The sequence below is a fragment of the Homo sapiens genome, chromosome 2, assembly GCF_000001405.40.
Source record: "Homo sapiens chromosome 2, GRCh38.p14 Primary Assembly".
NCBI lineage: Eukaryota > Metazoa > Chordata > Mammalia > Primates > Hominidae > Homo > Homo sapiens.
In genome coordinates, this window is record NC_000002.12 from 165,933,610 (window position 1) to 165,950,527 (window position 16,918).

General features: G+C 35.1%; 1 protein-coding gene and 1 long non-coding RNA gene across 8 annotated transcripts in view; one reads left to right on the top strand and one right to left on the bottom strand.

The window, feature by feature from the left end:
• The window catches only part of TTC21B (tetratricopeptide repeat domain 21B), an 80,415-nt gene that overhangs the window by 60,248 nt on the left and 3,249 nt on the right, over positions 1-16,918 (bottom strand). For 4 of the 6 annotated variants that reach the window (NM_024753.5, XM_017004967.2, XM_006712761.2 and 1 more), the window contains exons 2-6: positions 15,986-16,115; positions 15,785-15,895; positions 11,915-12,081; positions 9,610-9,732; positions 7,418-7,575 (exon numbers count right to left, since the gene is read on the bottom strand). In NM_024753.5, coding sequence (NP_079029.3) covers positions 7,418-7,575; positions 9,610-9,732; positions 11,915-12,081; positions 15,785-15,895; positions 15,986-16,115 — 689 coding nt within the window. The other 2 variants (XM_047445870.1, XM_011511871.4) reach the window with 2 other exon arrangements.
• On the top strand, positions 248-14,712 carry TTC21B-AS1 (TTC21B antisense RNA 1). 2 transcript variants are annotated; one of them, NR_038983.1, is made up of 5 exons: positions 248-467; positions 1,125-1,180; positions 13,588-13,732; positions 14,279-14,316; positions 14,426-14,712. It is a non-coding gene; the product is annotated as a TTC21B antisense RNA 1 (long non-coding RNA). The 2 variants fall into 2 exon arrangements; NR_038984.1 differs by lacking the exon at positions 1,125-1,180.

A 16,918-nucleotide genomic window follows, 5' to 3' on the forward strand; every position in this document is an offset into this window, starting at 1 on the left:
TAAAAAGAACTGAACCAAAAAGGTAACGCCCCAGACTTCTCTTATCATGGATGATGTGGTACATATCACAATTACTGGTTCCAGTTTTTCAACCCTCCCTGAGTACGTGTCTTCTGCCATGTAACTAACTACAAAAGTTGGAGTGTACCCTACTGCTTCTTGACTAGGGACTTGGACATTTTTCTTATATTGGCCAATGGAATGTGGGCAGGAATAGCAGTGTATCAACCTAAATTTTAGAGGCACTGCATACTTCTGCTTGTTCTCTGGCACTTGCTATCAGTACAAGAAGAATTTCCTCTGGGTAGTGGCTGCTACTTGTTGTGAGTCTGGGGGAAACACTATTGGAGGTGACAAGAGTCCAAACTGCAATGATGTGCCACATTCACCCAGCTGCATCTGAACTGAAGCAGGGCCCCAGCCAAGCCTTGCCTGAGATCAGCAGACCCTCGATGACCCACAAAAATGTGAGTAAAGAATACTTATTATTATATGTCCTGACATTTGTGGTTGTTTGCTATACACCAATAGCTGCCTGATATAATAATGGTCATTTTTGGGAAAGAAAATTTTTTTTCCCCACATATGACTACAAATTTAATGCAATTCAAACCAAAATCTTCTATGGCTTCTTTTTTATTATTTTGTAAATTGATTATGACAGTCAAGAGCGAAAAAAAGAGCCAACAAAACTGTTATAAGAGAAACACGGAGAACTCCGTCTCTACTAAAAATACAAAAAATTAGCAGGGCGTGGTGGTGGGTGCCAGTAATCCAAGCTACTCAGGAGGCTGAGGCATGAGAATCACTTGAACCCGGGAGGCGGAGGTTGCAGGGAGCCAAGATCGCGCCATTGCACTCCAGTCTGGGCAACAAGCGAGACTCTGTCTCAAAAAAAAAAAAAAAAAAAAAGAAAAGAAACGAAACATGATGGAGAACTTGTGATAAAAATTATCAGAGTCCATTGAAAACTGAGGAGAGAATAGGCTCACTTAAAAAAAAAAAAAGCATATTTAGAACCAGTTATATACCAAAGAAAAACAAGAGCTTTTAGCATATGAAAAATTGCTCAATCTCAACACAATAAAAGAAATGAAAATAAAAATGAGATACCTCTCTTTCAGATTGCTTGAAAAAAAAAATACACGCACTGAAAATGGCCAGAATTGGTGAGGATAAGGTAAGGGATCATTCAATAGACTACTAGTAGGAGTGTAAATTAGTACAATTTCCTAGGAGAGCAATTTGGCAGTGCCTATCAAAATTTTAAATTTATATACTTGAGGGAGAGACTACAATTTGTCTCCTCAAATTCATTCTCTCCTTATTTGCTTGGGCATGTGGCTAGCCAACACTTCCTAGATATCTTTGCATTCAGAGGTGGTCAACGTGAAATAAAGTAATATATGCCATTTCTGGGCCTGGGCTTTTATGAAAAGTGGAATGACTTCTCTACATTATCTTTCCCTTTCTGCCAAGTGTTATGAGGTCTTAGGAGATGGCAGGACTGCAAGATGGAAAGCGTCTAGGTCCGTTAAAAACAGTGTGGAGCAAAGCTGCCTGATCACTTCTAACATTTACCCAAAACAGTTACATATGGGGAAACATTCTTCTATTACACTGAATCATTATATGTTTAGATCTGTTTTTGTAGCAGCTTAGCCTACCCTAACAAATACAGTATCTTGGATTCAACAATCTCTCCTTTGGGAAACTTCTCTGCAGATATAGTCCTACATGTGTTCAAAGAGGTATGTGTGTATGCATGTGTGTACAGTGCACTATACTGAACAGTGAAAAATAGGAAACTGCTTAGGTGCATACCAATGCGGAGAGATTAAATAAATTATTTGCATTTTCAATTCATAGAATGCTACTCAGTTTTAAAATGATTAGGGAAAGGAAGAAATACATAGATGTTTACAGATGACATGAACATCTATGTAGAAAATCTAAAAGAATCAATTAAAAAAAACTCCTGGAATCAACAAGCGATTATAGCAAGATTGTAGGATATGAGGTTAATATATAATATCAATTGCTTTCCTATGCACTAGCAATGAACAAGTGGTATTTGAAATTAAAAACACAATAACATTTACATTAGCACTCCTTAAAGTAAAATACTTAGGTACATATAAATCTAACAAAATATGTGCAAGATTTCTATGAGGAAAATTTTTAAATTCTGACAAAAGAAATCAAGGAAAAACCAAATAAACGGAGAGATATTCCATGTCATGGATGCAAAGACAATACAAGATGTTAGTTCTTCCCAATTTGATCTGTAAACTAACTCAATGCAATCCCAATCAAAATCCCAGCAAGTTATTTTGAGGATATTGACAAACTCATCCTAAAGTTTATACAGATTAGCAAAAAAACACAGAATAGCAACATACTATGGAAGGAAAAGAGCAAAGTTAGAGGTCTGACATTAGTTGACCTCAAGACTTACTATAAAGCTTCAGTAATCAAGAGAGTAGTGTGGTATTGGTGAAAGAACAAACAGGTCAATGGAACAGGGTGGAAATCACAGAAATAGACCCACATAGATAGTAAACTGATCTTTGACAAAAGAGCAAGGACAATGCAGTGGAGAAAAGACACTCTTTTCAATAAATGGCACTGGAAAAACTGGACATCCACATGGAAAAAATGAATATAGATACAGACCTCACCTTCTTCACAAAAATTAATCTGAAATAGATCACAGAGCTAAATGTAAAACATAAAACTATAAAATTCCTAGAAGATAATACAGGAGAAAATCTGACGGCCTATGGTTTGATGATGACATTTTAGATAATACACAAAAGGCATAATTCATGAAAGAAAGAGTTGATAAGCTGGACTTCATTAAAATTAAAAATTTCTGCTCTGTGAACGACAAGCCACAGACTGGGAGAAAATATTTATCAGATATAGATATATCTGATAAAGGACTGTTTTACAAAATATACAGAGAGCTCTTCAAACCCAACAATAAGAAAACAATCAATCAATTAAAAGATGGGCCAAAGACCTTAACAAACACATAACAAGCAAGATACACAGACTGCAAATAAGCATATTTAAAAATGCTCCACATCATGTCATCAGGGAAACGCAAATTAAAATTAAAATAACAATGAGATACCACTACAAACCTATTAGAATGGCCAAAATCCAGAACACTGGCAACATCAAATGCTGATGAAGATGTTTTAAAGCAAGAGAAACTCTCATTCATTGCTGGTGGGAACATAACATGGTATAACATTTTTGGAAGACAGTTTGGCAGTTTCTTAGAAAACTAAATATACTCCTACCATATGATTCAGGAATTATGTTCCTTGGCATTTGATCCAAAGGAGTTGAAAACTGATGTCCATACAAAAACCTGCACAAGGTTATAGTAGCTTTATTCATAAATGCCACAATTTGGAAGCAATCAAGATGTCCTTCAATGGATAAAACTGTGGTACATCGAAACAATGAAATATTATTTAGTACTAAAAATAAATGAACTATCAAGTCATGAAAAGACATGGAAGAAAGTTAAATGCATAATACTAAATGAAAGAAGCCAAGCTGAAAAGGCTACATATTGTATTATTCCATATTACAGGACATTCTGGAAGAGGTAAAACTATAAAGGCAGTAAAAAGAGCAGTGGTTGCAAGGAGTTGGGGAGATGGAGGGATATATAGCGGATACACAATAAAGATAATTTTTAGGGCAGTAGAAATATTCTGTATGATACTATAATGGTGGATACATGTGATTACACATTTGTCCAAACCACTAGAATGTACAACACCAAAAGTGAACTGTAATATAAATGACGGACTTTGGGCGCCTATAGTGTAAGTTCATCCACTGTAACAAATGTACCACTCTGGTGGGAGATGTTGATAATTAGGCAGCCTATCTATGTGTGGAGGCAAGGAATATATGGGAAATCTCTGTACCTTCTGTTTAATTTTGCTGTGAACCTAAAACTACCCTAAAAATACTGTCTATTAAAAAACAGTTTGGTGTATCTATGTGAATAGGTATAAAATGATATCTATGAAATACCCTCTTAAAGAGAAAAACAAGTTTAAAAGTACATTATGAGTCTATTTATTATTTTTAAAACACCCTCAAATATATACATATTTTTAAAATATATAGAAACCACACACACACACACACACACACACACACACACACACACACACACACACACAGTGCCTAGAAAAAAAATCTTGAAAGATATATACATCAAAAAATTACTAGTACCCTAATTGTGGCCTTCAAATATCATTTCACACTAAAAGAGATTAGATTGCCCTGGACAAATGACTGATACCTACTTGGGGAAGTAATACACAAAATGAGCCTGGACAGCTTGTCGTACCAAATAGCAAAGTAACTATCAAAGACTACTAGGATCATGTCAAAAGGACTTAAGAACAACTTGAAGAAGCTCCTAATAGTCAGAGAAAAGACTGTGCAATTATAATGACTAAAATGTCCAGAAGCACTCATCTAAATCCATGGTATGTAAAACAAACAAACCTGAGCCACTAATCAATTACCAATGAAGGATGCTAAGGAATTCTTGGCATTTTTTTTTTTAAACCTGGAAATAACGGAAAAGACTTCAGCATCTTATCCTACTTTTCTTATATGAACCATACCACTCAGTAACTAACCAGGAGAAGAGAAGTTTTTCTTTATAGGTATTCTAGCTAAGAAACAAAGAAAGAATGACAGAATTCAAATGCAACCCTACTATAATCCCTATGAATCAAGCACCTAGTTATTGAGCATGAATAACTGCTGATATCACGAAAAGAGAGAGACAAGCAGACATTCTGTCACTGTGATGAAAGACAACAGTACCACTCATGAAGTAATTGCCAAAACAACAAAATTGAATGTGAATTTAACCAAACCTCTAGATCCAACTACCAACTTACAGGAAATACAGAGGATAAAGCAACAAGTTGTACTACACCATGGCAGACAAACAACAAAATCTAGATCATGGAAAATGCTACAGGACAAAACACTGGTTTCTTCACTTAAAAAAATGGCAAGAAGAAAAAGAGAAGGGAAACAGGGAAACAGAAAAGGCAGGAAGAAGGAGGGAGGGAGAGGGAAGAGGGGAAGGAGAAAGGAAGGGAGAGGGAAAGAAAGAGTGAGAAAGAACTCACAGAGACAGGGAGACAGCCTCGAGACTTTAAAGATATAAACCAATCACCATATGTGGACTTATTTGGATCCTGATTAAAAAATAATTTATTTAAAAAACACAATATTTGAGACTATTGGTAATTTGAACACTGGATAATTGATATTAAAAAGCTATTTTTAATTTTTTATATGTGATAATGATATTGTCATTATGTTGTAGAGGGAAAAGAATTATCCTATTTTTTCAACACATCTTGTGATATTTACAAATGAAATGATGCAGAGTTTTGAATTTGCTTCAAAACGAAAATTAAAGCCAAGAACCAAATGGGAGTTTAGTCATGTGGTGACGGTAGCTAGGGGCAGGAAACAGATAAAGAGTACCTCATGATGTTCTTCTGTCTGCTTTTACATAAATCTGAAATTCTCCATAATAAATGATAGACGATCTTAGCAAAGATGTTACCAAGATGTTCGGCCCTGAGATAGCCATTAATATTTTGTCAGATATGAATAAAAGTTAGACATGCTTGCAAGTCACTTATTCTCAAGATTCTAAGACTATAAACCTTAATCCAAACTGAAGTAAAGGTGACTTTCTATGCAATTTATACTTCATTTGTATCTTGAAAGTATCCTGCCTATTGTTTGCATGAAAAGTTCTATTAAGACATTCTGATTTTAAAGGTATATTTGTATTACCTATGAAATTTACTTTTCTGTAATTTCAGTATTAAGTGACATGAATTCATCTGTTAGAAAGTATTGATTTGTGACTCAAATATATTTATTCTTGATCTCATGGCTTTAAAGTCACTGACACATAAATCATATCTATGTGTCAGTGACTCCAAAATACTAGCTATAGCCTAGACCTCTCACAAGAACTCCAGATTCAGACATCCAGCTGCCTGCCCATACATCCATCTCTACTTTGACTTCTCATAGGCATTTCAAACTTACAATGTTGAAAGCTAAACTCCTTACCTGCCCTGAAACCTTCTTTTTCCATAATCACCCTGTCCAGCTGAAGCAAACTCTATCCTCTAGTGCAAGTAGTGGGTAAGAGCACAGACTCTGGGACTAGAGTGCTCTGGATTTGAATCCTGACTCCACCACTAAGTAATTGTGTGGCTCTGGAGAAACTTCTTAACCTCTTTGTACCTTAGTCCACTCAGCTGTAAAACAGAAATACTAATAGTACCTTCCTCTTAGGGTTACCCTAGGAATAAATAGCACTTCCTATGAGCCAGGCATTCTGAACACTTCACAACAGTTCATTATCATCATTGTTGTTGTTATTCTGGTAGTTCAGGCCAAAAACCTTGGAATCACCTTAAACTATTCTTTCTCTTACACCTAAACAAAATGCTACAGGTCCAGATTCCAATCACTTCTCAAAGCACTTCCACCACAACTATACTGGGCCTGCCCCGACCATTTCTCAATGATGGCAACAGCTTTCAAAAGGTTCTCCCTGCTTCTGCCTTTGCCTGCTCGCCCACAGTCTGTTTTGCACATGGCAGAGTGATTCTTTTAAAACAGAATTTAGATGATGGCACTCCTCTGCTCAAAACCCTCCAGTAACCTCATGCTTCAGAAGAAAACCCCAAATCCTTACATGGGTAACAAGACCCTTCACCATCTAGCACGGGCTCACTCCCACCCTTTGTCTCAGACCTCACACCTTACTCACCTCTCTTACTCCTTCCCACTCCTCAAACATATGACATGTGCTCCCACCTCGGGGACTCTGCATTTGCTTTTCCTTCTTTCTGCAAAGTCTTCTCTCAAATATCTGCATGGCTTACTCCCTTACCTTCTTTAGAAGATGGCTCAAAGGTCTCAGCCTTCCATGACCATCCCATAAGATTGAACCCCTCAACACTCCCCATCTCTTTCTTGGTTTATCTTTTCCCCATAGCACTTATACTTTCTAACATACTACACAATATACTTATTTGGTGTGCTTAGTATATGGTTCCTTTCACTTAAATATAAGCTTCATGACCACAGGGATATTGGCCTGTTTGCCTAAAAAGAGTGTCTGTCTTAAACCAGGAATCAAATATTTATGTAAATCAATAAATTCAATGTTTAAAAGCAGTATGATTTTAAGTATTTCCTCGGTTCCACACTGTTTGAAAAAAATCAAATTTAAAAACCCTTATGAAAAAAATTCACAGATGTCGCTTTTTCTCAAAATTATAACCAAATCCAAAGAGACTTGTGTCATCTTTTATTACTTAACCTTTGTGCTGTCTCAACTGTCTGGTCCCAATCCTGCAAGGCTAGTTGTAATTTCATTTTCTTAACAAAAGCAGGAAGGAAGCTCGGAAAATTCACGATTATCTGGTTCACAGTCTCCAGGGCACCTGAATAATTCTGGCGCATCTCAAGGCATTGTGCCTAATGGAAGGGAAAAAAAGTGATATCCAAACTGTGATCTTTCATATCAAAGTTCTCATAACGCAGAGCAGGCAGAGTATGAGCGTTTAATACTTACTTTTCTGTGAGGAGCAGTTATCACTTTTTAAGTTTTTGTCAAAACAAAATTTTAAAACATCACAGAATAATACAAATACATTATATAAGCTATTGTGTTTTAAAATTTACTTTTAAATGGCTGAAAAACATGATTAAAGGATAAAATTTTTTAAAATGTTCTCGGAAATACCATAAAATAATGTTTCCATTTAAAACAAAATTATCTTTTTAGATTAAAATGTTTCCAGGAAATTTTCAAGTAGCATCTAAAATTTTAAGAAATTTTAGAAATTTTGCATCTTTTTTAAGAAATTATTTTCAGGTTAAAGAATATATGATTTTAAAGAACAAGCAAAATACAGTTCAAACAAATCCCTCTACTTCAACATTTTTCACTTCTATGAATTATCTGAAGGAAATAATTGGACAAGACCACAAGGAAGTATATAGATGATATTTATGGCAGAATTGTTTATGTATAAAATAATCCCAAATGTACCTAGAGGAGAAAATTATAGTATATCTAATTTAATAAAATGTTAAGTAATCATTAAAAATGATGATATAAATTTGTAGACGTAGATTTACTGACATGAAGAGATATTATATATAATAGTTTAACTGGTTATTTCCAATGGTGATGCTCATTTTCTCATTCAGATGTTATTGTATTTTCTGAAAAAAAGTTTTACTATGTTCATGTATCTCATAGTCAGAAAAAATAAAGCTATAAATATAGTTAGTACATTAAAAAGAGATGATGAGGCAAATTTTTATCAACTAGCTTTTCTTTAAGAGAAGGAAAATGATCAAGAAAAGTATATGGCCAATTTCTTCAGCAGTGCTATTAGGTAAAACTTGAGGGTAGTGGGCCTGAACACAAGATGTTCAACAGGCTTACTGTCCACACAAAGTGACAGGAAAAGTGATGTGGAGACATTAACAAAAGTCAAGACATGAATCCTCTCCCCTTCTTTTTTATCCCTCCAAATTACTGCTTATCTAGCAGACTTGTTCCCAACATATAATTTCTTTTTGCTGAGTCAAAAAAAAATTAAGGCATTTAGATAGCATCAATGGGGATTGAAGAAAGGGTCCTACTTAAATATTTCCATCCATCAGTAAGTTCTAATGACTCCTTCAATTGCTCATCCCTCAAAATGTATGTCCGATCATGTTATTTCTCTGTTCAAAACTTTGTATTGGCTGCCTGTCTCTCTAATAGAAGGTAGAAGCCAAAGGCCTTACAGAACAGGCCAGGCCCACCACTCCTCCTCACCCCCATCCCACCTTTCTTCCTCAGGCCTTCACTTCTGTTCTCTTTACTCAACCCACTTTGGCCTCCTTGCTAGCCCTGAATACACCTTAGGGTACCTGAACTCATCATCTCCTCTATTTGAAATACTTTCCCCAGATGCCTGCAGGGCTTTAACCCTCACCTCCATAAATGTGTTTGCTCAAATGTCACTTTCTCCGACCACTTCATGTAAAACTGGAAGTTCATGCCCTAGCTTTTCCAGCTGTATTTTCCATTATACTTATCACCTTCTAATATACCATATAACTTACTTATTTTGTTTATTGTCTGCCTCCATCAGTAGGATATAAGCTCCATAAAAACAAGAGGTTTTCTCTTGCTCAGGGTTTCTAATATCTAGAGGGATGCCTCACATACATAAGACACATAATAAATGCTGAGGAAAGAATGTGTGAACCAAAACAACAACAACAATTAACAGTTACAGCTGATCCAGGATTCAGGAACTCTGGCAGGGAATACATTTCTCTAGTGTATTGCTCATTGTCCTACACAAATGCCAGTCTACCTTACAGCTGTGAGCTGACAACAGTATCATGAAAATTATCAACTTTTTTGAGCTACTTGGTTTTGTCAGGTTTCAAATATATTATGAATATATTTTGAAACATGATTTATTTACCCTAACTCCAACTCACCTTACCCAGCAGAGCAAAAGTATCATTCCCATCTTGGAGTCCCTCTTCAAAATACTTCAGTGCTTTTTTAGTGTAAGGCTCTTTTCCTCTTGTAATATCAAGCCATGCTTTCAAAACGTGTCCCTGTAAAATGAATAATTCTATTTTTACTTTTTTAGAAATGAGAGAAATAAATGTTAATGAAAGAGCCTAATGTCATTTTTCTGGCAATTAATAACAAAAAGGACTCTATCAAATATGTTATGAACAATAAAATTCTGTTAGTGAAATCACTTTTGAACCCTTGCCAGCCTAGTGTCTTGGGAACTATACTACAAATTTCAGCCTTTAACATTACTATTAAGCTCAATATTAAAATTAAGAAGCTTATCAAATATTCCATTAGTGTTAAAACCATTATTTTCTCTGAGACTTTGCTAGTAATTGACAATTAATAACACTTAAACATGAAATTCAATATATAGATGAGAATTTGTTGTTTCTTTTTGGACAAACCGTCTAAATGAACTAAGATGAAATAACAGAAGAAGCCTTGCTTCACATATCTTAAAGATTCAGATAATCTGGCAACAATCTTCTTAACCTCTTTGATTAGTCCATTGAATTTCAAATGACAGGTGGATAGCCTGAGAAATTATAAACTGAAGAACTCATGGATATTTATCTTTACACATGTTAGTGGGCCGATGGGTTGTAAGACATATGGGATTGAAAACAAGATAAAAACTGGTTATTTTTCTCTTTAAGGTCAAATAAAAAACTGTGAAATGTGCTTTTTCTATTAAAAAAATCTAGGTTAACTGACAAATTTATAAACCTTTAACTAAGACTATATTTACCTCCCTGTATTTCACCCGAAAATACAAATAAGGATCTTAACCAATGCTATGTGCTAAATCAGTGCCATCATTGAATGGTTTTAACTATTGTCTCTGTGTGGATGATTCCCAACCTATATTTCTAGCCGAAAACCTCTTCTAAATTTTTCTTTTTCCAGAAATTCATCTGCTATCTCCATCTTACTGTTCTGCCAGCACCAGAAATACAGCATGTCTTAAGACAAATAGATCACTTCCCTTTAAGATTAGTTTCTTATGCCAATGTATTTTCTATTTATGCTAACTGGTCTCTAATTTTTTTAGGCTTAAGGCCTCAAAGACATCCTAATACGTGACAACTTGTTATCTTTCTAAACTATTATCAGTTCACAGGTCCTGTGGGTATTTAAAAATTTTGAACTTTGTACTCACTGTACAATATTTTAGTGTAGTGCCTCAAAACCTTCCACAAGGAAGTACTATCTTTTTCTTTTCACTGCATTTCAGTTTATTCTCAAGCCACTTCATCCAAGAAACCATTGTCTAATTAATCTTCTGGATTTGCACTCTAATAAAATCACTACCATAGTTAAAAGTCTTCAATAGCCTCTCAATGCATGTCAATCAGATACAAATATTTTTAACTAGCAGTCAAGATCCTTCAATTTGTCTCAAGTTACCTCTCCAAGCTTTTCTTCCCTTCTCGTTATCAACGTATCCTGTATTCCATCAAATATGAGTATCTTAGTGTACCCTCAAGTAACATGTCTCATTTCCATCTATTATTTCTCACCTTGGGAGTACCTACTTCCCTTTCCCATAATCTTTGCCTGTTGAAATTGTATCCATCTTTCAGGTTTTAGCTCAAATGCTAGTTCCTTCAAAAAAATTCTTTCACATTCTCTTAACACTTAAGCGTGTGATCTCTCCTTAATTTAAAACAGTGCCTAGCACAAAGTAAGCAAGCAATAAATGTTAGCTATTATTTTCTTGCATACTTTAATCACATATCTCTCATATCATCTATCATTTTTCTCACAATATTAGCTGGGGATGTGCTCTATGCACTACTGGGTTATTCATTCATGAAAGCAAAGTTTATGTATTATTTTCCTTTGCATTATTAACAGTACAAATAATGGTACCTTGTATCTAGAGCTGTTCAATAAGGAGAGAGGGAGAAAGGAAAGGACAAAATATGGAGGGAAGGAAAAAAAGGTAGAGAAAAAGAAAGAGAAAAACAGAGAGAAGGAACCAGGCAGGGATCTTTGAAGACTCAGTAGCATAAAACTAACCTTAGAGAATTCCTATTCTACAATACACTATTAACCATATTGATAACCATAAATGGGTTAAAATAAAGCTGTTATTTACAAACTGGCAATAGAGTGAACAATAATAAAGAGCTAAATCACAGATACTACTGGATATATCAATAACATAAGCATTTTTTAATGTTATTATTTTAAACTCAGAAAAATAGCTACCTGTTTACTACCATCTGATATTTTGATCATTCTGTCAATATATTCCCTTGCTTTATCATGGCGACCAATGTGCCATAAAAATAAGCCTGCATGGTATAAGGCTTTCTCTCCAGCTCCTTTACGTTGTTCCTTCACTCTGGCATCTGATTCCAGAATAGCTTCTCTATCTGGTAGGGGAAAATGATATTAAATAAAAATTAAATTCTGGATCAGGTATTTATAATAGGTCAGATAATTAACAAGGCAAAAAATTTACTTCTCTCTATAGTGGTACTGTCTAATAGAAATAAAATGCAAGCCATATATGTAACTTAAAATTTTCTAGTAGCACTATCAAAGAAATAGAAAGAAACAATTAAAATTAATCTTAATGTTTTATTTAGCCCAATATATCTAAGATATAATTTCAATGCATCATTGACATAAAAATTAATGAGATATTTTGCATGCTCTTTCCTTACTAACTGTGAAATCTGGTATTTCATAATAACAGCACATCACAATTAAGATGCTAAATTTTGGCTGGGCGCAGTGGCTCACGCCTGCAATCGCAGCACTTTGGGAGGCCAAGGCGGGCGGATCACGAGGTCAGGAGATCGAGACCATCCTGGCTAGCACGGTGAAACCCTGTCTCTACTAAAGATACAAAAAAAAAAAAAAAAAAAATTAGCCGGGCGTGATAGCGTGCACCTGTAGTCCCAGCTGCTGGGGAGGCTGAGGCAGGAGAATGGCGTGAACTCGAGAGGCGGAGCTTGCAGTGAGCAGAGATCGCGCCACTGCACTCCAGCCTGGGTGATAGAGCAAGACCCCGACTCAAAAATAAAAAAAAAAGTTAAATTTTATTTAAAAATACTTGATTTGTAGTTTTCATAAAACTTATGGCTGAAAAGCAGATTTTTAGACTCAAGTTACTCCTAAATAAGTTTTCTAATAACTGAATCAAGTATCATTTTTAAGTTTAAAAAGTAAATTAATTAGAATTAAATAAAATTTCAAATTCAGTTCCTCAAACTTGGTAAAAAAGCTGTATATGGCCAGACATGGTGGCTTACACCTGTGATCCCAGCACTTTGGGAGGCCGAGGTGGGTGGATCACCTGAGGTCAAGAGTTCGAGACCAGCCTGGCCAACATGGCGAAACTCCATCTAAAAATAAAAAACAAAAATAGATGGGCGTGGTGGTGGGTGCCTGTAATCCCAACTACTTGGGAGGCTGAGGCAGGGAGAATTGCTTGAACCCAGGAGGCAGAGGTTGCAGTGAGCCTAGATTGCACCACTGCACTCCAGCCTGGGCAACAGAGGAGGTATATGGTTAAGGATCACTGTAATGCACAATATAGCTATAGAGTTTACATCATTCCCAAAATAGAAAGGCTGTATATACTAATATTTTTTAATAATAAGACTTATAAAAATGTATAATGGTTCTAACCACAATTATTAGGAACAGGTCCAGTACTGGTACTCAACGTATTAATAATTCTTAAATACAATTCTAAAATATATAAACATGCCAGCTACTGTTATGGGTCAGTAAAAAGATGGCATAATTGCTGTTATAGTTTAATACTGACTGCTCCCTTAAATAGATAACTCTATTCACTTACATTAAGTCTATACACTCTCTCTCTCTCTCTCCCCTCCCCCATATATATATATATATATATATATTAGTATCTGCTTAGGACACAGAAGTCAATTACACCCAAACCCTGGATGGAATCAGAATCAGAATCAGCCATGCAATGAGGAAGAAGAAATGTAAGTTGCGGCCTGTGATTCCAACAGTTCTCTTTCTGGAATGGCTACCAAGAGAAAGGTATGTGACTCTTCCTTTCAACTCTAATGATACAAATTTAAATGTGAAATTAACAAGGTACAATCTAATGAGTGAAGGAAACAAAACTGTTTCTGTAAGTCTACAGATTGCTTAGCAAGAAGACCCTTTTCTCCTCTCCCCACTCCCCACCCCTACAACCCCTTCAGAAGTGTTCATTAAACAGCCATGATACAGAAACAGAAATAAGAAAACAAACAAACAAAAAAAACAACCACCAGGCAGAAGCAGGCATTGTACAGGAAATCTTTCCTACTCAGATTTCCATCACGTCCCTAATGAGGTATCAATCAGCTCTAACACCGTCTGCACAAAGTTGTTGAAAGATCGCAGCCTTTTTATAAGCAGGGTTTATTTACATCAGCATCCTGGAAGGAATGTATACTAACAATCTAGGACTTTCCTAGGCAGTATTTACAGACATCTGGGCCCCTACTAGAGCTCAAGTCCATTCAGCATCATCCTTGGTGCAAAGCAGAGTTAGCACTCAGGTTCCTCTGAACAGTATTTCTGATTCTGTCATTTCAGTGTCCTGCAAATCACAGTGTCCAACAGAATCAACACTGGTAAGAATAACCAATTAAATAAAAACTTGATTCTAATAATAAATTATTTTGTACTAATTTCTTCAATCTATACTAACTACAGCTCTCCCATGAAAATTTTCTGCTCTAGCTAAACACACTCCCACTGGAGTACGGAGAAAGGGGATCCACAGAAGAGCCTAATCCTGAACCACTTCCATGTATTTGCCCATCCATTTCTCCTCTCTGGCCAATACTCTTCATATTCAAATTCTACCAGTCCTTCAAAGATCAGATTAAGTTCCAAAATTTCAAAAGCCTTCTCAGCCTACTCTTACAGCTGAATAGTGCATACCAACTTCAATTAATTATAAACTCATGTTTCATTTTGTATTATTTAATAGAAACATTGGAATTTAATCTTTGTGTTTTTTACATTTTGTTTTCTCCACTAGATTACCAACTTGATGACATGAACCACTTATTAGAATTCTTTTGTAGCTTGTAACTGTATTAGGCACAGTTTCTTGAAGAAATTAAGCACATATTTACATGTTTTAAATAACTTTGTATTGATTTGCATATGTATGAAGGAGGTATGTCATACTTGGCTTTAGAAAAAAGTCTCGTCTAATATTCAAGGAACCAGTCTGTGACCTTTGTTTATTATGTAATTTTTTGAAACACAATCTATATTTACAATCCTATTAGCTGTTACTGGATATATATTTATGGAAGAATATAACACTACTTCTTCTTTATTACATACAATTTGGATACTCTTCTGCCTTCGCCATTAACTATACATTAAGACAGTTCACATAACTTTATTTTTTATTTTCTGTTTTTTTTTAGAGATGGAGGTCTAACTATGTTGCCCAGGCTGGCCTCGAACTCCTGGGCTCAAGTAATCCTTCACCTCAGTCTCTCAAGTTGCAGGGATTACTGGCTTGAGCCACTGTGCCTGGCAGTTTACACAACTTTAATTGCTGGTTTATGTATAAATTTCCTTCTATAATCTAGTCAGAATCTAGTCAACCTACTACTGCATAAAAATTTGCTGAATATCTCCCAAGAGCTAGCCCTCATAAAGGGTTTTAAGGCTCTCAATAAGCTTAATATACAGAAATAAACTGCATTGGCTGTATATTTGCACAAAAGTTGTAAACTTGGCTGCTGCAGAGCAATTTATGTACATACGGTACCTGTTTCTTTGGCTGTCCTTTTTTTGTGTAACAATTACTAATATACATTCCCTTTTATCTAAAAAAATCCCTATGTACTAATGAAACCTCTGCCAGAGGATATAAGGAACACGAAAATAGTATAAGACACATTTCTTGTGCCTGATGAATTTACACCCTTGTCAGGAAGATAAACATATGTATAAATTGTACCTACAGAAAATACATAATATAGTGTGATCAGACTGAATGACTTGGTAACTGAGAAAAATAAAAATAAACTGAATAGGAAAAAATGTCCTAAGCATTGCATTTAAATATCATACCTGGATTAGGACTCATTTTATGGGCATATATCAGTGCAAGTAGAGAACAAAGTGATACATCTTGTTTATTTTTAATAGCCTCAAATTCTCGAAGAGCTTCTTGAGTTTTACCTGAAAATCAAGATTATGATATGAAAAACTGTTCTTAGTGCAAAGCAAGAATTTAAAACTGATGGAACATGTTTAATGATTAACACGTACCTTCCATTAATGTGCCATAGGCATGATAAAACCTGAAGACTGGATCACTTCCATACCTCTTAATTCCTTCACTGGCAACCAGTAATACATGATGGAAATATCTCTCTTGACAATAGTAATTAATCAAAGTCTAAATGGAAATAATGAAAAAATGTTATAAAGGAATTCTGGTGCTCTGAAATACTCTAAGAAGCAGATAATAATCTAACATCTAGAATAATGTAAAATTCAGGCAATGTGACTTTTTTCTTCCAAGTTTCTTAAAATACTATTAATGGCTAGAACTCAATGCTAAGGATTGCAGAACTGAATGATCATAAAATTACTGAAATAATTCAATGTTTTCTAATAATTTAAATTATTTTTCCTAAGTTTTTGTTAACAGCACCGAAATGAGGCTGCTTTCACCTTTTTTCCTTTGCCCACATTTTCTTGAACGTTTTAGAAAACAGAAAGGCAGACAATAAACAGGAACTAAAAAAAAAAAAAAAAAGACAAGAGGCTTCCATTGCCAGACCATAGGTTTCTTTAAAAAAAAAAATCTTCTTTTTAAAATATCCAGTATTTTATTACAGCATTACAAAGTAATGACAAATTTAATTCTTCAACATATCATCAAATGTTATCTTACTCGGCTTTGAGTTCTGCGACAAATAAATTGTCAGTTAAGAATAAATAAACTATTTTTCAATGAAAATCGTTGTCTTTAAGCTTTTTCCAAAGTTATATTATTTCCATATACAAGACAAAACTACTATCAGGACCTACTAACTTCTGAATAAAAATGGGCCTGTGCTGTCTACCATTTTTCCTACGATTATGTCTAAGGCTTGGTTGCTAACCTCATCAAAGACAGAAACCACACTTTCCCACCATCACTAGGATACACCTGATTCACCAGAAAGCAGTTTGGGCCACCCCATACCTACCTAC